This window comes from Homo sapiens, chromosome 2 (genome assembly GCF_000001405.40).
Source record: "Homo sapiens chromosome 2, GRCh38.p14 Primary Assembly".
NCBI lineage: Eukaryota > Metazoa > Chordata > Mammalia > Primates > Hominidae > Homo > Homo sapiens.
The window spans coordinates 142,980,333-143,004,050 of record NC_000002.12 but is presented as its reverse complement, the minus strand read 5'-3'; the positions used below and the strand labels follow the sequence as shown (position 1 = coordinate 143,004,050).

The following is a 23,718-nucleotide window of genomic DNA, read 5'->3' as shown; positions in this document are numbered from 1 at the left end:
AGTAATCTGTCTTCTGGAAGTTTAAAGTAAATGAAAGTGATGTTTGTTCATGGAAGATCTTAATCAAGTAATAGGAGAATGTCTTCGATTAGAAGTCAGAAGCCCTATTCTCTAGTTCTGCCTCTGCCCAAAACACAATATGTCAAACACAGCGTTCTTTATATTTATTCATCAGCTCCACTCTTTCTGTTAGGTAGTTTTAGACACCTGAATTGGACACCATTAGGTTATTTCCCTCTTCTCTTTGAGTCTTATCAGTTATTAATTTTGTTGTTTATTCTTCAAAATGGCCTTGTTATCTACTCCTTCCTTCATATTCCAGTTAGACCCTAACCTAACCCATATCATCTGGTTTACAGAAAAAAAAAATCAAATTTCTGTAGACAAGCAAAATTAATGACAAAATTTTGAAGTATGAATACCAAAGTCTTGTAAAGAAGTGTTTTTTGTTTGTTTGTTTGTTTGTTTTCAGACAGAGTCTCACTCTGCCACCCAGGCTGGAGTGCAGTGGCGTGATCTCAGCTCACTGAAATCTCTGCCTCCTGGGTTCAAGCAATTATCTGCCTCAGCCTCCTGAATAGCGGGGATTATAGGTGCCCGCCACCACACCTGGCTATTTTATTTTATTATTATGATTTTTTGTATTGTTAGTAGAGACGGGGTTTCACCATCTTGGCCAGGCTGGCCTTAAACTCCTGACCTCAGGTGATTCCCCTGCCTTGGTCTCCCAAAGTGCTGGGATTATAGGTGTGAGCCACCCCCCCCAGCTGTAAAGAAGTGTTTTTGTATTAAATATCAGAATCAGGATTGGACAGCTATCTTAAGTTAATTTGAACAGATAACTGAGCTATATTAATGAGTTAAATTGTGTAGAAAAACAAAATCATCTTAGAAAGTAATTGCTTATTTAATGTACTAATGTTTATCATGATGTATATTCAAAGCCCATTCTTTCCGCAAGCATGGATGGCCCTGTGCTGAGTACTGAGGGGAACTTATTGTGACTCCCCCATTAAGGCTGGTAAGATAATGTTTGCATAAAAAGGAGGAAATAAGGAAGGAGTTCTAGCATAAATGAATCAGATGCATTCACCATAGTTTACAACCATAGGGCCATTGACTATTATTTTATGTTTTATTTTTTGAAAAGAAGAAATGCTAAAATTTACCAAAGAAACTTATTTCTCCTATATTTACATATCAAAGATAATATATGAAATTTTATGCACATAATGTTTTCTGTGGAAACTGATTCAAAATGTACTGCTTGGCATTTTCTTTTTTAAAAATCTGATGCAAACAGTGGCTGTGAGACAGAGCAATGAAAAAAATAGCAACATGTATTTCCCATTTATTTTCAATGGGATCAAAACAAAAATCAGGAGGAATATTTCAGTATTTCAATCTTTCTTCTTATTTAACAAACTTTTCTTTCATTTTTTGTGCATTCACTAAAGAACTGGGTACTTGACACTTCTGTGTGTGGAGTGATATTAAAAATTCAAGAGTATGAGTTATGATGATGATTGCTGGGTATATCTGACAGAAACATCAAAGACCTAGCGTTCAAACAGTATCACAGGAGGAAATAATAACTTGTGCTTGAAAATAGTGATGACATTTTCATAACCCAAATATGAAAGAAACAAGGGACTACACGAAGAGTAAAATGTGTTCTTAGGAAAAAAGAACTCAGAACTGATTCCGTAACTGTGGTCAAGACATTGGGGTTTTATTAATGTTTTATTTACTGAAGTTACAAAAGTGCTTTATATCTGAAAAAGTATAAGTACAATATGATTGTTTACAAAGAAAGAATTTCCAAGTTGCCTATCTCATTATTTCATGCTAATATCTCTTTTTTGCATTTATTCACTTAAGAAATTATATATTTCCGCCAGCTTTGTACAAAGGACACAAAGAGAGCACCTGGACCTTGAACCAGCTCCACCGAAGATTCTAATTGTTTGCCATCCATTGTCTTTCCCCATCCCCATTACCTGTGGATCTATTACCCCTGTATGGAAGCTATAAAATCCCATAGAACATTTAAGAATGGCCTGGCGAATCAAATTATTGGCTCCTGTGCCAATAAGAAATCCTGTTCAAAAGGAATAGTTTAGCAAAGCTTCTGCACATCTAGCTGCTAAGGAAAAATGGATGGAAACTAAGACATGTTTGCTGGGAAATGGGCATAGTCATTTCCTGTATTCTCACTTAAATTTTTACAACACCACTTTGAGGTAGATATTCTTTCTACCATTTTAGATTTGAGAAAAGTATGGCTTAAAGTGGTTGAGTGACTCATCCAAAGGGGCACAGCTAGTTAAGCCAATGTCCTGCTCAATAAATAATCAGGAACACTGACCACAAGCAAGAAGCTGTGATCAAGATAGCATAACCAGAACAAAGTTGAAGGAGGGAGTAAAACTGAGTATCTTAACAAGCCAGCAGGAAAGCAGAAGCTGAGATGCTCGGTCCCTGGAAACTGAATGGAAGAGCAGAGGTGAAAAGTAGGGCTGAGTAAAGCAAAATGGTTTAACAACTCTACAGTTGATACTTGTTACTAAGGGCTCTATATCTATTGTTTATGCTCCTGATTAAATTATCCTTCTTTTTGGAGGCTTATTAGAGTTTTCTTATGTTTCACTTATTAATAATCCAAAAATAGTTAATGAGACAATTTGCTAGAAGCCCGAGAGAGACAGCATAAGACAAAACAGGCATTGTCTCTGCCCACCATCCCTGTCCAATAGTTTAAAGTCTATTGGGTGTGAGGATGGCTGGGGTAGGGGGTAATTAAGTATATTCAATGGAATTGTGGTAGGCAGACTCTTAAAGTGCCCTCCTAGTGTTCATGCCTTTGTCTAACTCACTCCCTCTTGCCTAGATAGGATCTGTGACTCCACACCAAGAAGTAACAATCCAGGGGACAAAGTGAGATAGAAAGAATGAAGAGAAGGAAAATAGAGTCAAAGCTAGGTGTCTGATATTTTCATAGTCAGTACTTAAGGAAGACAAAGTGCTGACATATCCCATCATGAGTGAGGCAATAAGTGGATTGAAACACTGAAGGATATGAAACCAGAGACTCAAGATAAGATGTTTCAGTTTTATCGACATGAATATTGAAGCAATTACAAGGGGAGAAGAGGGTGAATGCTGATTATACAAATTGGGTCATTCTTGTCATACTCACCTAAATCAAAGTCTAAAGGCCAGAGGAAAAAAAGCACCCAGGGCACATAGCACTGCTCCAAGAATTGACTTCTCCACAAGCCCAGCTGCTGAAACTACCTGCTGTAACCCGAAGCCCAGTTTCACTTAGTATCTGCTGAAATACCTGCTATAACTAAGACTAGTTTTACCTACCACTGTCACTCACCAGTTAGAGATATGCCAGCTTCCAAAAGCTTTTCTAGTGCCAGAGAGATTTCTTTCAAAAGGATATGTAACATTTCTTTAAAATAAATACCCCAACATTTTCTTTGTTCTTTAGACATGCTGATGACTGCCTGATCTGTATGTGTGCCCCAAATTGCAATTCTGTGATTCACAAATAAAATGTTAAATTTAGAGATTTGTCTCTGTATTCTATTTTGACCTCAATAAGAGTAAGATCAATAGAATAAAGAAAATAGTTGCTCTTTATAGAGTTTATTTATATTATAATTCTCTAACAATGAGTAGTAAAGGGAGTCAGAGTACTCTGGATGTGGAAAATAATACAATTTTCTGTAAAACATGGCATAAAGATTAATATCTCGATGTAACAGTGATATCATTGAATTCAGTGGTCATAGCAATTACTTAAATAAAATATTCATCAAAACAATTCAACCAGTCATAAATACAGACTCACATAGTTTTCTGCCATGTAGCAACAGAAAAGTAGGGGAGGGAATATTTCGTATTATATGTGCTATAAAGTCCTGGGGCCATTGGTAGCTAATTATTTCGGACTGTCACTAATTTTTCATATGATGTTTTTCTTCCTTTATGTCTTTATTTGGATATAGAGTATTAATAATTACCTTGTTATTTTAATAATTGGTGGTTTTGATCTTCAATCTTAATGAAATTCTAAATGTTATCTCCTCTGGAAAAAATTGCAACTTGGTAAGATGAATGCTCTACATGTTCATTTGATAAAGAAATTTAATCATTTGATAAAAGAAATTTAATCATTTAAGTGGATTACTATAACAAGAAGATGAGATTTCTGTCTTATTAAAATTTATTTTTACCCATACCCCTTGTGAAATAAAGACATGTTGGCTCTCTTCTATGATGTATGACATTTTTCAGGCTATTCTGAATATTTTCATGACGAACAACATCAATGATATTACATTTTTAATGTAACAGCCCATACTGATACATGGTTAGCTAAAGTTTTGAAAAACATTACTAATTTAAATAAGAAAATAAAAAATAATTACATTTAGTAAAACAATATTAGAGAGCCTGTTTCCCATATTATCTTCCAATTGCTAGCTCACAACTTGACCCTAGGTGATTGATGACTCCTCAAACACTCAGCTAAGGTCTTATAAAAATAATCAAACAAGTTTAACTTAGAGCATGTGTGATTTTTCTTCCACTTAGGTTCTTTTAGTTGTTTTAATAATATTGAGACCAACAAAAAGAAATGTTAATTGAGATTTTATTATAAGCCAGACACCATTCAAAGCAATCACTTAATTTTTAAAATAATCCTATGAATTATACTATCATTATCCACATTATAATACAAAGGAGGAAATGAAGGCTCTAAAATTCTTGATAAATAGTCTAAGATTCCACAGTTATTTATTGTTAAAGTCCAAATGTAGATATAGACCATCATGACCCAGGATATTCACAGAAAATGCAAAACCATCGGGAGCAGGTTTTTAAAAATGAACCAGTGATTTAATAAAAGCAATGTTCTCCAGACTACTTCCGGGTTTGGGGCTGGCAGAATGCTAGGCTAGGATAGACTAGAATAGGCTAAGATGGCAGAGCTGCTATTCTTTTTTTTTTTTTTTTTTTTTTTTTTTTGAGACGGAGTCTCAGTCTGTTGCCAGGCTGGAGTGCAGTGACGTGATCTCTGCTCACTGCAACCTCAGCCTCCCAGGTTCAAGTGATTCTTGTGCCTCAGCCTCCCGAGTAGCTGGGATTATAGGCATGCACCACTACACCCAGCTAACTTTTTTGTATTTTTAGTAGAGTTGGGATTTCACTGTGTTGGCCAGGATGGTCTCAATCTCCTGACCTTGTGATCTGCCCTCCTCAACCTCCCAAAGTGTCAGATTACAGGTATGAGCCTCTGCGCCTGGTCACAGAAGCTATTCTTTTTAGTATATACAATGTCCACTCCCTCAAACAAATGTTCTTTTGACCTTCTCTATTCTTTTAGAATCTCTATAAGGAGTTGCCTTTCTTCAAAATGCATGATCCTAGACACTTGATTTAGTGAACTTGAGTAAGCATATCACTCATCTGTTACAAGTTCAAGTCTTTACAAACAGAAATAAGCGCTGTTTAAAACCTTTTAAAAAGCAAATAAAGAAATGATTATTTCAAAACAACATTTAAACACGAAATACATTGCACAGAATCTAGGAGGAAGTTAAATTCATTTTAAGATCCATCACTTGGAATGTAGGAAAGGTAAAATCCAAACACAAAAGAAATGCAATCGTAATGAAATCTTGGATTCTTAAAAAGCAAATATTTGAAAGCTAATGAAGTAAAATTAAAAACCACTGAATTAGTTTATAAGTAGCTATTATCACAATGGGCTCATAAATCATTCCTAAAAACTAAATGTCAACAATAACAATTAAGATACAATCTCCTTGTGCTTGGACTAGAAATTCAAATGTTTTCTCATCAAAAATTAAAAATCAAAAAGGGAATTAATTTACTAAGAATGGAGATATAAACAGAATTTGAGAGAAGTAACGTGTTGGAAGAGATCCAGTAAATAATAAAAGCAGACATATTAATATGCTGTGTGTTCTTTGAACATCATAAATTCCAAAAAAGTAGTTTCAAATAAATGTTATCAAATGGAAAGCATCGCTTATCATAAAGACATCTTTGAAGCATGATACTCAGATTCAGTAAGAGAAAGCCACTGGGGATCTAGTGAATATGATTTCGGATGTGAGGAGTTATGAAATGAAATATCCAAACTCTCCTTGATCTCTTCAGCAAGTCTTTAATAGCAAAATGCTCAATATGAATTCCTAAATATGTCATTCATTAACTTATCCTTTAAACCCCTTATCTCTCACCTCAACCTCACAAAAACTAAACAACAAACATCTGTTTCTTAGCTTATGTTAAAGAACAATTTCCCCTTTGGCACCAAATCAAAATATAATAAAAATAGTTCACAATCTTTCTTAAGAACATACATTTTCATAGAAGACTGCTGTCATAAGTTTCTTTAATTTGGCAACTTATTACCATACATTTAATAATTTAAGTTTGTGTTCAGGAATGCGAACATTCTTTTCCTCTTCTCTCTCTTCCTAAAGGCTATAACTTAAAATGAAATATAATTGTCTTACTGTTTCCTTGGCTTTAAAAAATGTGCTGATCAGACAAATTGTCATAGCATTGCAAAAACATGGAACATGCTGGGTACAGCATGATTGTTTATTCTAAAAATAAACAAAGTCTGTAATAACAACTTGGGATAAGTTAGAATGTCTGTCATCCTAGCATCCTCTATAACCTAATCTGAAGTATGTTACTTATTTTCCTCATTAAATAATCAGGGTTCATAGAGTCAAAACTTCCACAAATCTTGTTTTGTTTAGAGAACAATTGGAAATTTATCCATTTAAATAACTTTGATATAGTCTTAATATTCACAGTAAAAACTTTAGCAACTGAAGTTTAAGAAATATATACATAGTACTCATTCATACTTGAGAAAAGGAAAAAGATAAGAATGTTATAGCAAATTTGTTATCAAGTTGTCTGAACTGGCTGTACTTTACTGCATGCACTTATTACAGAAAGGAGTGGAAAGGAGGGTCACTGAAGTTATTGATATAGCCGGTGATGCTCAGATTTCCATCAAGCTGGTTTTAGTTTCTGAGCTATCACTACCAGCAGTTCACTCAATTGTGATGCTTCATTTTTATCACTTGAGAATGACAGCATTCGAAAGCTGGAAGAGAATCTTCCAGAGATCACTGGGGTCTATTTATTTTTTCCACAGGCAAACCAAGACTTAATGAGAGGTGAAGAGACCTGAATTTGTAATCTTGTTCCTCATGAACAGTCAGTGGCTCCCCTTTGTCTTTAAAATAAAATCAAAATTCCTTAGTTGGAACATAAGGATCTTAATGTTCTGGCCCCTGACTGGCACATGTGGAAAATCACCCTGCCCAAGAGGGCTACCCACAGTTACTGCCTGTTCCCTTTCAGTCTGACTGAAAGTTAGGGGATTTCTCCAGTTAGCTTACATTTCATCTTTGTAAGGTTCTCCCAACATCCCTCTTCTTTCACTGCCCAGACTGAATGGTAAGTTCAGGACAATGGGGGCTCATTCATGCCTGTATCCCCAATGCTTTGAATACAGCCCAGTCTATAGTAAATCCTCAAGAAACAGACCAGCGTGGGCAACACAATGAGACCCCGTCCCTACAAAATAAAATTTTAAAACTTTGAAAATGTCATAATTCTTTCATAATGTTCGGTAAACATACTAACTTTTTCTTATGAATAGGTATAGACTTTCTGCTTTTCCTTTTGATTGTTCCAAGCTCTATTCATCTATCATCAGCCAAAATGTTTCTTCCAGCCTCCACTAACAATCTTTTTTAGCCAGTCAATCGAATTTGGATGGCCTACTACAAAAAGCATGAGCTCGACCATACTACAATTCCGTCTTCAAGAAAGTAAGGTCAGTTTGGTAGGATTTGGGCACGGCTGCATGGGTTCATAAGTCCCCTAGTCAAGATCTTCAGCCATATTCCCACGGTAGGGCATTAATGTTGCTAGACTACCATGTGTAGTGAGAAGAAAGGCTTAGGAAACAGAGACACGTTTGGTACAGTGCAAGCAGATATTTGAGTTCAGAAATAAGAGTAGTTCAGGCACATATAGAGAACACCGAACTAGTGCCTATAAAATGACAATCAGACAAAACAGTAGATATGCATCAAAACAAGTGGGCAAAACAACACAAAACAAAAAACAATGAGAGAAGGAGCAAACAGAGTCTAAATCCAGGCAGTTGGTAATCAGCATAGCGGTAGGAAAAACAAAAGTATGGCTAAGTGACAAAAGCAGATTCAAAGGTACTAATGACAAAGAAAAAGTGTTGAAAACTGAGAAAGTAGATTGCTTCAGCTCATAAACTGTACATTCACCCCTTGATGCCAGCAACTGGTCCCCAAGCATGCCCATTAGAAGGCTTGGCATGGCATGCCATGCCATTAAACAGGTACAATATTGCTAACATACTCTTAGTTTAAAAAGATCTCTATCAATTCCTAGTTTAATAAAATATTCATCTAATCACAATTGTTCTGCTTTGTTCGAAGTTAGCTGACTTAATGCTATTTTAGAAAGTAGTTTTAGGATGTATCATAAAATTCAGTTTCATTTTTTTCTTCTCATTTGCCCACCCATCTGTAAATATTAGTGCTTCACTTGGTTCTGTTACATATTCAATTACCTCTTCAAATCTTACTCTGTAAGAGGCTTGTTCTAATATGTCCAGTAAGCTAACAGTATGATAAGCATAGTCATAAAAAAGCACTTCCAGAAATGATAAATTTTAGTTAATAAAAATTGTTTTCTAAAGTTTCAGAATATGTTGTTCTTATAAGAGCTAAGTCAATATGTTTTTTGGCATGAGACTATTAGTAACAAAAAAGCCTTTGAACATTTTCTGAATATACTTTTCTGAAATATCTTATTATTTTGAAATATTGGTAAAATAATCCTTTGAGTTAATACCGATGCTCCAAGTCCAAGAACAGAAAGTTTTCTAGATTTAGGACTTTAGAAAGAACGACTTGAATTTTGTTCATCAATGTTGATTAAAAATTCATGAAGGATTTTAAAGTTGTCTGTAGCTAGTTTTCATGGATATATTTGGTCTTCATAGAAGCATATGGAAATGCATATTTAATTTGACAGTATTTTGCAAATCATACCCGCTTCAGAATAATTTGCAAAGTAGAAATGCTTCCATATGCTAGAAGATGGTTTGTCTATTATGCTGAGAGTAAAGACAGAGCCATATATTCAACAACAAAAATTTAAAAAATACTTTCTTGGGCACTGTAGATTATGAAAGTAAAGAAAGATTAACAGGACAATGTCCCAGGACTCAAAGAATTTAGAATTAAGATTTCAATCTATAATAAACTTATTAAGCAACCATATAAGACATGCTAAAATGAATTTTCATAGGGATCATTGGGCCCTTAAAAAACATAGTGCCACATGGTTATTTTCTGCCTAAATTGCCATGGCTTGTGCGAAATCTTCTTAAATCCTGACCAAAGCTGATTGGAGCAGGGACTGATATGGGAGACAAAGCAAGCTATCTATACATGAGTTGGTCATGAGGACAATAGATGCTAGCTCTGGACAAAAGAATAATTCCCACCCAATCAAATTCTCTCCTCTTGAAGAGCAAAACAGGTGAACATGGAGAATATGGATCACGTGGTTTAGAAGTTTGTTGTGAGTAATATATTCCAAGTATTCTTGTGTAGACTGTGAAGTTAGCCTGCCTCAGTGTTGGAAGTACCAGGACTTGGTACCTGGTCTGTGTTGCTGAGGCAGCTCGCAATGCTGCTTCACACAGCATGGATTATTACAACAAACTTCCACCCTGTCTGCTTGGAAATCATAAAAAGCCAGATGGATACATGTATGTTCTAAACAAGAACACATGAAAATGTAGCAATAGCTCTTCACGATTAATAGTAAGAAAAAAAAATAAAGTCCCTGCAGATTTCAAAGGTTACTTTAGGGCTAAAACTTGAAGTAATTAAAACAAGAGCTGAAGCTCTTTGACAAGTTTTACTTTTTATGCCTGAAAGGTTCATTGACCCTATATATCTTCAGAGACACTGGACTGCAGTTTTAGAACAGAAAATAAATGTTTAGGTTTCAAAGGACTTCAGTGTTCTCAAATTAATGACTATTTCATCATTATCTGAGAGTAGCGATTTACAAGCAAGAATAGCTTTAATGTATGTTTTTATACTGATAATTACTATTTTGGCTTTCTTTAAGATCTAGGATTACTTCATCTCTGGAGTTAAAAAAATACAGATTATTTACTGAATTTATTTTTAACTGTGCTCGTGCCTCAATGCATGTAAGTTATTTTTATGATCACAGCTTAAATTCCCTACACAAGAAAATTATCTGGAGAATTTCACACAGTAAAAATTGTCAAGCCAGGAAGATTTTTTAAAAAAATCCTTTAAAAATTATTGATCTAAAATGGTTTCTAAATGAAAATAGGTTTAGGTTGTATGTCATGATTCCACAGATGAGTTTTCTTCAAGTGGTGTGTCTACTTTTGGGTCCCTTACAGTCACCATTTGAGGACTAAGACTGATGACAGGTGTAACCCACTTCAAGAGTGTGTTCCCAGAGCGAAGGGAGAGCTTAAAGCAATCACGATTTTACCACTGTTTATAATGGCTAAAATATTGTTGAAAGATAAAGAACAATTTTATGATAATGAGGCAGGCTTTAAAATGTTAAGTCAATAACTCCAATTCCATAAAAATTCTAATGAGGAGAATAAAAAGGAAAAGATCACTTGGCATATTCCTTTAAGAAATGCCATTTAAGTAATTCTTTCTTCTTTTTTATATCCCCTTAAATTTATGGAACTTCTGAAATGAATCTCTCTCACAGGCAACAATTTTAGTTTTCAATGTAACAAAGTAAATTTATTCACTTAGTTAGTATTGCATTCCATTTTACAGAAGATTCGTATCTGTGAGTTTCCCCACCTCCTTGCTCAAGCTCTTCCCAAGCAGCTCTGAGTCAGTCTGCTATACCTCCGCTGCCCCTACGGCAAAAGCAGTCTGAGAATTCACCCAGTAATTAATCAGAGGCTGCCTTATGGCACATATTCTAAGCTTGGGTTGCCTGTGACTTAAATCACTTATTTAACTGGTTAAAAGATATATCTCCAAATGAATTATAACATTTTAAAATCGCAGGCAATAGCCTATATTTATTTTTCATCTATGAAAGCTTTTTGCACAAAAATATTGGTTGGTTATGTTTGTTCATGTCTCTTTAATAAACTCAGGATCATTCTCTTTACATGAGAAAGTGAAGATTACCTTAGAAAGATACCTATGTGAGATAAAATGCAAGTTTTACCATATTTAGTTTCTGAGATAGAAAGATGTATGTGTGTGTGTATGTATACACACACATATACAGACATATCCAAAGTCCTTAATATCTGATGACAAATGAAAATATGAAAAAACCACTTAAATAAATCAATTTTAAAGTCAATGGCAGAAGGTTTGACAGAGATGCTATCTTAAAATATAGAGCTTAAAATTATTTTTAAAATTTAATATATGATTTGGAGAAATATAGATTAAAATTATAATATTCTAATAATTAAGAATAAGGATAAGGTGTGTTGATTTTTTGGTATATTTCTTGACAAAATGATATGGTAGCAAAATATCATCCCTTTTATAGTATACTTAACTTTCTCAGCATGACCTTAAAGATAATTTTTACATAGATTTGTGAGGCATTTATCATTTATCTTGAATGCCTGATATTCCAGTTATTTCCTTTTGAAGTACATTGTCAAATGTCCTCTACTTCACCTGTTAACTGCTCTGACATATTATCATTAGCCATGATTTTGTGATTCAGGAGTTTTCCAAATTCACTTGCATCATGACATCCTGAATCTCCCTTGAAAAATCTTACTTTAAAATCATTTTCATTATATTTTCACTGTATTATCTGATATTTATGATATTATATAATCAGCAAGATACTAAGAATTTGTAGAGTAATTCATAGAGATAGATGCTGCTACTTGGAAAATGATGTTCAGGTAAGGACTAATTTTACAAGCAGGGAGTTTATTAGTGAATATTTTCCTTATATCTTTGGGGACTGAGATCATGTTTGAATAATGACAAACTCTTGCAATTTGCAATCAGATGAAAATAAGGGCTAAAAATTATGCAAGTGGTAAAGCTGGAAATAAAAGTTCGTTTCTTCTACACCAGTTGTATATTGTTGAAATAACTGTGGATGAGATACTTTTGGGCAAGAGGATTAAGGACTGAGGTTTTGAGAGAATCAATGAAAAGGTGAAAAAGTAAACATTTTAAAATACAGAAGAGTTCTCACATCCATTGGAGCAGAAGCAAAAGAAAACGGTACCACAGAAGTTTAGAGATGTGGGAGGCAAATATTAAAGACAAAGGAGATAGCCAATTATATATGGCTGAGAAGCCAAGAAGTTGTAGCTGGAAAGTCATCCATATTAACACTGGCTAAATACAGGCTAAACAAGCAGAACAGGTGACTCAGAAGGCCGAGGTCATATTTCAACTGGGGATTCTATAAAAACTCACTGAGAAATCTATTGGTACTGGTCTATCTCATTTGAAAGCATCAGAAGTGTTGTGAAGTCACACATCTTGCTACTGCGACCTATGCTTCCTGTTGTCTCAAACTTTGCACAAGAAGGCCTTATTCTGGTACTAGATAGGGACTTGATAAGTAGTAATTCAGAAGGCATCATTAGAAAACTAAAACAGGATTTAAATTATAGATAAGTTTTGGGCTATGGCATTCTCAACTGTTGCCTGGAAAAGCATATGGAAGTGAAATATATAAGTCAGTGTTCCCCTGAACAAATGTGCAAAAGACGATCTCTTCATACAATGTTAACTGTACAGTTGGGACAAGCATGGTATAAAGTTATAATTTTTTAAGTCTTTTTGCTGAAATTTCTGGATGTTTATTTTTATTCTTTCTGGGACTTTCCTGGGAATTGTTTGATGCATATTGTTTTTCTAATGTTGTTGCCAAATAGTAACAACTCTTATTTCTTAACCATGCACTGAAGTCAGCCAGCCTTTTCAACTGGTTCTTTTTCACCAGCAAATTACTCTTTACAATAAAGGAGATAATTCAAGCCCTTAATAAGGCCTTTAAAATGTCATCACTGTTTAAAACTTTCAATCAAATACCTCTAGCTGATTATGGAAATGTGTTGGCATGATTTAAAATTCAAGTATTTTTATCAAAATTGTCAGTCGGCCCCATTCTTGCCCATTCAAAAAAGCTCAGAAGAAAAGTATCCCAAGGGAAATGTGCATTTTAGGAGAATCTAATACAATGGGCACATGTGGAGGTTTGCTACACCAGCGTGAAGAGTGAGGAACAGCAGGTTTTCAGTATGTATGATTTCACTGGCTCACATAAAAAAGTAAATGATAGATGGATTTGTAATACCTCATATTATCCACTCCTGTTTTCATAGTAGACTCTCTATTAACAAAAAAAGAGGGAGGTGGTATCTTAAATCGCAATGTATGGGCTCTTACAGAAGAATCCTTTTAAAGGATTCACAAAGCTTTGAATCCCCTAAAGTTGAAAGGTTAAATAGTCCTCTAAAGTGTGCCATGAGGGTTAACATTTGTAACTTTTTTTAAAACATTCAAAATTTACAATGTTATTTAAGCATGTTTTTAGTGAAACATTTCATATTGTCAAATTTGTACAATTAAGAGTAGTTCCCTTCATATTTCAGAGCAATAATTAACTGTGTAGACTGAATTAAAGTCTACCTTGAAGTGGGGCAAAAACATCCAAGAAGTCATGACCAGTCCTAATTTATTGTACAGACAGAGTTTAGAATATGACATTGCAATGAGCTAAGTTAATAATGAACTAGGAAAAGGTTAAATTCTAGGTGAGAATAACAGCTTGAGTTATGATGCTTAATGCCGTGCGTTGACTCTGGCCTCTAATTTATTCATTCTCTTTATGGGCAAAGGGCTCTTGGAAAAGCCTTAGGTCATAGGTTTTGAACAATGTCCAAAATGCATATTTAAACAAAAAAGGAAGTGAAATCTCTTGGTACAGATGCAATTTGCTGTTTGCTAATGGAAACATCACATAAAGGACTATTTCAAAAATTATATACCAAATATTAGACTTCTAAAATGCAATGTTATATATCTGGGGATACACTCTCTACACCAGGTGGGTCACCCATGCTTATAATTCCTTTCTTAGACCAGCCTTCATGAACTGTTAAGCTTTCTGTTTAACCAAGCACTAAGAATGCCCCCTCAGGTTTCCTTCCAATTTTCATCACATTCTACCTCTTTATTGAAGGCTTAAACTGCACAATTATTGCACTATCAACATATAGTCAAATTGTCAAAAAGAAGAACACATAATTCAAACATATATACTTCAAAATACTTGTTAAAGAGTGAATGAGTGGACCATGAGAAGAAATGTTATTTCGATATTATTTATTTGAAATAACATGTTTAGCCACTAGATGTCACCCTTTTTAAGCAACAAAGACTACTTCACAAAGTGTGACATCAATAGCAGTTACATTTGTTCCACTGTATTTGATGTTCTCCATATGGTTCTCGGCTACATACTGGACACTTTAACAGTGAAAAACTCTTTGGTCTCTCTAAAGCTCTAAGAGAACAGAAAAGTAAGATGACAGAAGGCTTATTAAACATAGTTAAACCAGCTAATCGTGGAATGCTAACAACTGAAATATAATTATTAATTGGCAAATAGAGTCAGTAGTCATACAGACTCTAAAGTTTACTCAAAGTTTAAATTGGATTTGACCGTGGAACTATAAATATTATTCACAAGAAAACTTCCTCTCCCCATCTTCACAATATTTTATGTATGGAACATTGTCGTAACATCTGAACAATTACACTTATTTGAGCAGCGTGATATTGTAGGCTTTTGGGTCTTTTCTTTGTTTATCACTCTTCTCACAGGTGGTATTTGATTTTCAGGTGAATAAAAAAGTAAAACACACTAAGGGACACAAAGTTAAGTTTCAGCAAAACATTTCTTTTCCTATCAGGGACAATGAAGTGATGACTGGAAAATACCTTGTCCTTGACTTGTCCAAATCTGTTGCATTCCATTCCTAATTAAAGAACTCCGATCTCCTAATGCAAATGAAGTACAATATAAGATACTTGGTACAGAATAGAGAGCCAAGGCTAGAAGTTGACAGCACTGAGATCAGTCACTGACATCACTTAAAAAGAAGCTTAGGAGTGTGAGAAAACAATAAACAGAAAAACAACCAAGGTTTTCCTTAACGTGGCCTTCATGAGTCAAGCCTAATTTAAGTCCCATAAATTTCCATGGCTAAATTGTTAAAATGCAACAACAGCTAATAACATATAATTTTCCAAAAAACTTAAAAGCAAGGTTCTCATACACACACAAAATAAACAGCCATGAAAGATCTCATTCAACCCACTAAATAGTGGCGGAATCAGTAAGATGGTAGGAAGGCCAGAATTCTTTCTTATAGCATATAAGAGAGATTATATCTCCAAGGAATGGAGATTATATTCTACAGTCAGCTCATCAAAGGTCTGCTAAAATAAACTTGGTGATAGTTACAAACTAATGTCCTACAAAGTCACAAACCATAAACTTTGAGGTTATATTTTCTGCTTAAGAGAAATGATCTCCACTGGGCAAAGTCTACATGTTACTATGCACATTCTCAGTGAGTCAACGAAGTACTTAGGGGTCAGTACTAAATAATTACCAAACAATACTTGGGCTAGGGTGTTACAGAATGTCACCCATCTTTTTCCTGTATATTGTAAATTTTGGATTTTTTTTTTCATATAACCCCATACCTATTGATCACATATAATGCTGTATTAGTCCATTCTCTCACTGCTACAAACAACTGCCTGAGACTGGGTAATTTATAAAGAAAAGAGGTTTAATTTGTTCATGGTTTTGCAGGCTGTGCAGGAAGCATGACTGGGAAGGCCTCAGGAAACTTACAACCATGGCAGAGGGTGAAGGGGGAGGCAGGAACATCTTTCATGGCCAGAGCAGGAGGAAGAGAGAGAAGGAGAAGGTGCTACACACTTTTAAACAACTATATTTCATTAAGAACTCACCATCATGAGAATAGCAAAGGGAAAGGCCCCATTGTCCCATCACCTCCCACCAGGCCCCTGCTCCAACACTGGGGATTACAATTCTACATGAGATTTGGGTGGGGACACAAATCCAAACCATATTAAATGTTCAAGTGATACACTTAGTGTTTTACATACATCATCTCATTTTATTCTCACAATAACTGCTTATGAGTAGGGGCTGGTACTACCTCAGCTCAGAGACCAGAATACTGAACAATCATAGAAGATTCTCCAGGTGACAGACCCCTGAAAGACCAAGCTGAACTGTGAACCTGGTCTGCCTAGATGGTCTTTCTCTTGGGAGCTTAGACTTAACATAGATTTAAACATTGTCTAGAAGATTTTGAAATTCCACAAAATGAGGCATATGTGAGCACAATACAATCCCTTTGTCCTTGTTCCTTGTCCATGCTGAGAGAAATCTCAAGTACAAGACCTGTGTGTGCTAGGAGGTCAAAGCTTAACTCCGAACACTGACATTCTCTAGAATTTATGTATATTACTTCTTCCCCCCCACCCCACCTCCTTCTATCCGGGCACTGGCTCACCCTTTGGGTTGATATAATACATGAGATCCTCTATTTCAATTTAAATAAATGGAGACTGAGAAATGGCCAGGGTTGTGAGTCATCATACAAAAGCAAGCAATATCTTACATACTGTCTATGTGGAAAACATGGTATTCTTATAATATTTGCTTTTTAATCTTCTCAGAGATGTTGGGACATACATGGAGGGAAATCTAATGTACTGATAATGATATTCAAGTAAGATGTCTGGTTGACTAAATATCTGTCCAAAGATATTTAAACTTAAGACAAATGTTGTCTTAAGTTTAAAACCTTAAAACCTTGAAAAAAATTTAGACACAATTAAAGAAACTATAGAAAATCATCTTAAATTCCTAGGATTTATATGCACAGAACTTCAGAAATGTGAGGTGCTCCAAAGCCTATTACTAATTCAGCTTCAATTCTTGTAAAGATTTTACCACTCAGTCAGTGGCTGAGGAAATTCAGAAAACTAATCAAACATTATTACATTATCTATTAGGAGTCTAGACAGTCTCCTCACCACACATACTCCAATACAACAACTATGAAAAGGGTTTTTTTTTTTCTTCCCAGCATATTATTTCTTTATTTCCATACCAGAAAAAAGTAAAAGGAACACTTATGAATTCCCCAGTCAAATAAAAATGTGTAAGTTTGTTGGTGTATTATATTTGCATTTATACTTGCTCTAAAATATGAAGAGTTCTATAAAACAGAAAAGTATTACTTTTTATGTAGTCAGTCTGTTGTTCAGTGTTCAGCTTCTTCGGGTTTCATGGATTATAAAGTCTTTTAGGACAGAAGATATTCCCTACAAGCTATCATGTAACATTTACAGCTTTAAAGGTAGATGTAATTTTAATAATAACATGCCACATTTAAGGCTCTATTAGGCACAGCTCTGGTTGCCTTTGATTTATTCATCAACGTGAGGAATCTGAAATTTTCTAAAGTCTAATTTTTGAAAAAAAATATTCAAGTGGTCTCTTTGCATTAAACCATCCGCTTTACATGATTGCAGTGACTTGTTTTTAGCACTGAAGCTTCCCTTTTTGATTAAATTTCTTGTTCAACCAATTGAATTCTTTGGAAAGCATGTATTTCAAATGAAGTATATTGTTGTTAGCAGAGTAGGAAAATAATTATAATCCAATCCTAATTCCTATTGGATAGCATCTTAAGGAACTCATGTAAATTTAACATATTATTAATGCAAATTAATTTGTTCATCACCAAAGAATTAGCTGAAGATGGTACTCACGCAGGTTTAATCGTATGGGCATGCTTTTCATGAATGAAGGCACCAGCAATTCCTCCTGCTCCTGCATTTAAATACTAGATTGAAAATAAATTAAATTATGTGGGTTTACTTAAATATATGACAAAACTAAACAATGTAGTCATTTGAATTTTTTAATTGAAACCACAACATTTGATCAGTTCAAAATGTGTGATTATTTGTGTATTTATGATAAAACAGAAGCTTAGGTCACCTTCCTCAAAGAAAAACAAATAAAAAATAGTATTATTAGGTTGAGAATAAATGGCTATTACTTTTACGGGGCAATTTTGCTCCAGCTGGTAGAAAGCAGTTTTAATGAGATCTGGCTTTGAAATTCATACATTTAAATTATTTTGTCCTAAAATATTGTAATAATAATAAAAATATATTTTTAAAGCAAGTAAATTGTAATTGGTTTTATTTTCATGCTCCCTGTCAACTGTTTTCAAATATGAATTCTAAGTTGATTCTCTAAATATTATCTTTATATATGCAGAAATTTCACAACTTATCAATAAAAAAACTAAAAAGATGATCAATTTGAATTAAGTGTAGGGATTTTTCTACAGAACCTCCTGACTTTTTCATAGCAGCCAAGGAATTGAAGAATTAATTTCTCTATATTGATAGAAATACTAGAATTATATTAATTATCATACTATTCCATCATATAACTCGATTAACAAAAAGCAGAAAATACAATAAAAGAAATAGGGAAAGTAACTCAAATCTTTAAAATTGGCCCACAGACCCAGTTTCTCCTTCAGATTAAAGTCAATGTGAAATAAAGGGATGTAAATGTATTAACTCGTTTGTACCTTGTAGGAACACCAGCAGGCAAAATCAACTCCCCAGTCATGTAAGTAGAGTTCAACATTTCCAACTGCATGTGCTAGATCAAAGCCAACATAACAACCCTAGGGAAGAACACAATAATAAGCTTTAAGTTTGCTTCATGATTAGAAATAATAAGTACAAATATTTTTAAGAAAACATTTGACAAACTTCTGTACCATAAATTATGGTTTGCTCTTTGATGCAATGGTTCACAAAGTATGATCCATAATTCCCAGGACCCTTTCAGAAGGCCCACCAGATCAAAGCAATTGTCATCATGCTAAGACATTCTTTGCCTTTTTTGCTGAATTGACACTTGCATTGATAATGCAAAAGCAGTGATGGGTAAAACAGCTGCCACCTTAGCAGGAGCCAAGGCAGCGGTACCGAACTGTACTAGTAGTCATTACATTGGTTCCAGCCTTTCACCTGGGGGCATGGGAAAGTTTCATGTGAAAATATCCTTGTGAAAACTGTAAAAATGATCAATTTTCATTAAATCTCAATATCTTAATTCTATATTTTTAATGTTGAGTGTGGGAAGTACACATAAAACCCTTGACCACATTCTGATGTAGGATGGCTATCTTAAAGCAATGTATTTATGCAATTATTTGAGTGGCAAGCTGAACCTGCCACTTTTATATCATGGACAACCATTTCTGCATGAAAGAGCAACTGACAAACAATGACGATTCACATGTGTGATGTATTTAACAGATATTCTTTTGAAAATGGAGTGTCACTTCAATAAAACAACTTATAATATTTGCTGCCAATGATAAAATTAGAGTTTCCAGGGGAAATTAGAATATTGAAAAACTTGTATCCACTTCCATGAGTATGACTAGCTCCCATTATTGAGATAATTCTGATGAATATAGTAGTAATACATAATTTCTAATTATTATATGATTAAATATGTCAATATTTGGAAAATACACATAATTCAATGAACCAATATTTTCTGAATGGCCAATGCTCGATGTTACATATTGTGCATTGATAAAGGATCTATTCAAAATGCAAGTTCAGTCAATGAATTTTAATATAATAAAGTACAGAAAGTTCAGTGATTCAGCTTCAAATTCCATACCAGAACTCCTAAAAAGTTCTCACTTGTCAAATTCTGATGCAGTATCAAAGAATACACAAAATTGACGGAAAGGCTATTCAACTACTCCTGCCTTTTCTGATTACATATCTTCATGAGTGCCTATTTTCTTTGTAAGATTCAAAAAGAGAAAAAAAGAGATTGAATGCAGGTATAAAAAACCAGCTGTCTTTTATTAAGTCAGGTGCTAATACGATTTGCCATATATAAACAATGCTACTGTTTTTTAAAGAAAACATAGTTTGTATAACAATATTTTGCTTATGTTAATATGTAATGCATTTGTTGTTATTCTAAAACAAATAAATACATTTTAAAATTTTGTTTTAATTGCAAATACAGTAAATACAGATATAGAGCCAATGTCAAATCTCCTAAGACCCTCAGTGGTTTTTAAGAGTGTAAAAGGTTTCCTTTTCTAAAAAGTTTCTGAACTGCTGCTTAAGTGTATCCTAGTAATATGAAAGAGTCAATAGTTTTCTTGTTTAGCATTTAATCCCACATCATGTGCATATTTAATCAGTTCAAGTATATACACTGTTATAAATTCTATCAATGGTTCTGCTTCTCTGCCCTCTCTTGCGCCCATGTTATTTGCCATGTAAGTTCTAGTTCCTCCACTGTGGGTAAGGTGTAAGTTTCAGCCACTGGGATCAGCCATGTGACTTGTTTAGACCAACAGAATGTTAGCACATGTAATAAAAATAGTCTCAGAAAAGTACTTGAGTGACTAAGCTTGCTCCCTCTTGCTCTCTGCCATCTCTATGAGAAGGACTTGCTTGGGCCAAACTGCTGGCCCAGATGGAAGATAAAAGAAATGTGGAGCATAATCATCCTCACCTGAACTCAATCTGGATCAGCTGCTCCTCCATGCCCTCCTCACCCCTTGCAGTTTGCCACAGAAACATGAATGAGCTCAGCTGAGACTTGCAGAACCCCTCCAGCCAAGTCCTACCTTGATGCTCTGATGCCAAGGTGATCCATAAAATCAATGGTTATTGTTTTAAGACAACAAGTTTCAAGATGATTTGTTACACAGCATTTTAAGGGAAGAGTGAATTGATATACTCAGCTCCCAAAAACCAAGACATCCTTTACTTGGTCTTAGGAATTACCCCTGCCATTCCTCTTAAAGAGTACAAGATACCAAAGGATCACAAGATGGAGGCTTGGATCAGTTACTGCGTGAGTTCTTCTAGTTCTCATGTTAGAATAAGAGTAACAATCCTTGCTTAATACTATTTGGTAAGCAAAATATGCATACTTTGATACAGTACAGATCCTCAATGTGAGCCAGCTGTTTTATATGGTGCTTAATTTTTAAAAAGTATTCTTATCCAAAAATAAAGAGGAAGAATGAAGTTGTTTGGGAGAGAATTTCAAAGTTTAATATTAACTCTACTGTCTCCTTCATACACATTGACTTTGTACCCTAAGAGTCTCTTCTGATCTGACTCCATTCTGTTTTAGTTATTTACTTGTCATGAGGTTTTAAGTGTTTTGTGTGTCTGCCTAGTGGAATTCACAATGTTAAAAAAGCAAGTCTCTGTTTCCACTAAATTCCCAGAAGCACAAACTGGAACAATGAATACATATTATCCAAATTGTACCCAAGTAGGAAGTTTCTAATTTATTTGCTGATGATCAAAGTCATTTAACTTACTGCATATCAAAATGTTGCAATGTTTACTGAGAAAATATAAAGATTCATTCCACATTAAGACAACTTTGTACATGAACATGAATTTAAAAACTGGCTAAATGCAGGTGATAGAACTTTGCAAAACATTTTACCTCTGGGTTTGTGTATGACTGGTTTACCAAGTGTAGTTTACTATGTGTACGATTAGTTTACCAAGTGCACATACCTGCTCCAAACTAGATTTTTTGGAACACTGAAGGCACACAACTCTCAATGGAATTAAAGTTTTTGAAGTAAATACTTAAATAAATTTTAGAAGTGTTCTAACACTTCCTAAGAAAAAAAGAACCCCAAATTACAAATACAGGTGTTTTCCCTAGAGAAGAGACATGCAAACTATAGTCTGTTTCTGTAAATTTAATTTTGGATCACGGCCAGTCTCATTTGTTTAAATATTGTCCATGGCTGCTTTTACGCTACAGCAGCAGAAATGAGTTGTTGCAACAGGGACCATATGGCCCACAAAGCCTAAAATATTTGCTACTTGGTTCTTTACGGAAAGATGTGCTTACCTCTACCCTATAGGATTGGTTTGCATAAAGAAACCTCAATATACTGAAAAGTTAATTAATTAAAACCTCATTCACTATAGTATGACTGGAGTTAGTATCTCACAAAAGGACAATATATCAGCACAATATAACTGTATTTTGAGGGAGGAAGGGAGATTAATTTATTCTTTGTTCCTCACCAAAGAAAATGAGCAATACGTACCATGAAAATAAGACAAGTGCTCCATTGTAATATAAGTTTAAGGAGTAATAGGACATGAATATAATTAATCTTCATCAAAACTTAGAAGTCATCAGGTCATCACAACCTAGGTTTGGAGACTAATGTTTAGCTTTAACAGACACACACACACCCCTCCACACACATTTATTTGTTTATATTTTAAGATATACTTATAATACTGAAATTCCATATGGGGAAAAAAGTTAATTATTCTAAATTTGAAACTCTCTTTTCTTCTCTTCAACATTTCCAATTAAAGCAACTTTTATGAAGCAATTTTTACAGCTCAGATTTTCACAGATTTGTTTTTACAACTCAATTTTTCTAAGAAAACTCAAGAAATAGAAAAAGCAGCACTTTCATTATCAATTACTTATAAAGAATGGCACACTGAAGAAACCACAAACCTTTATGTACAATATCCCATTATGAAAATCCTTCTGGCCACATTTGTGGTACCACGTTGAAAAATCAAGTATGACTTCTACACTATGTTTAATGCATTTGTAATTATTTCCCCATTGGTTGGTAGACAATATAAATTATTAAAATATAAAATGTATTGAGAAAAGAACTGGAAGATACAAACATGAATATCACTGCAAAGTGATTTCACAAAAGTGTCACTAGATGGCAGCATCTTAAACATTAAAAAAATCTAATGGTTCTCCAAAACCTTTCTACAGCCATCCAGTTATTTTCATTGTTTTGCCTCATGTAGGTAACATGATATGCATATGTGAAAGCAAACACTCTATACTTGAGTAGCTACTTTATGCAATTTTTCAATAAAAATCAAGTATTTTTCAACACATTTTATTTAAAATTACCCACAGGTGCTCACACTCATGTTGATACAATCACACTCATACTGACACAGCTCACACTCATATTGACACAACCAGCACAGCATTGTTCAGCCACCATGCCACCTTACTTTATAGTCAATCCAAAACTTGCAATCATTTTCAGGCCATTCTGATTATTTCCAGCCTGCCTTCCTCCCAGAAACATTATAAATCATACATTTGATTATAAGACTCACTGCCTTTGTTCACAGAGCCCCCATTAATTTCAGAATGCAACTCATAGTCCTTGGTATGGTTATCAGAGGTGTTTGAATCAGAGCAACTCCATCTTGAGTAGGGCCTGGGTAAAATAAGGCTGAGACCTGCTGGGCTGCATTCCTAGTAAGTTAGGCATTCTAAGTCACAGGATGAGATAGGAGGTCAGCACAAGATACAGGTCATAAAGACCTTGCTGATAAAACTGGTTGAGTA

The 23,718-nt window shown here is 34.4% G+C and overlaps 1 protein-coding gene across 8 annotated transcripts in view; it reads right to left on the bottom strand.

Moving 5' to 3' along the window:
- The window catches only part of KYNU (kynureninase), a 178,170-nt gene that overhangs the window by 51,783 nt on the left and 102,669 nt on the right, over window positions 1–23,718 (bottom strand). For 3 of the 8 annotated variants that reach the window (XM_047446252.1, XM_047446251.1, XM_017005217.2), the window contains 3 exons: window positions 18,869–18,967; window positions 18,030–18,103; window positions 14,514–15,206 (listed from right to left, as the gene is read on the bottom strand). In XM_047446252.1, coding sequence (XP_047302208.1) covers window positions 15,185–15,206; window positions 18,030–18,103; window positions 18,869–18,967 — 195 coding nt within the window. In that variant the 3' untranslated portion in view covers window positions 14,514–15,184. Of the gene's footprint in view, window positions 1–13,985; window positions 15,207–18,025; window positions 18,104–18,868; window positions 18,968–23,718 lie in introns of those variants that run through there. The other 5 variants (NM_001199241.2, NM_003937.3, XM_047446250.1 and 2 more) reach the window with 3 other exon arrangements.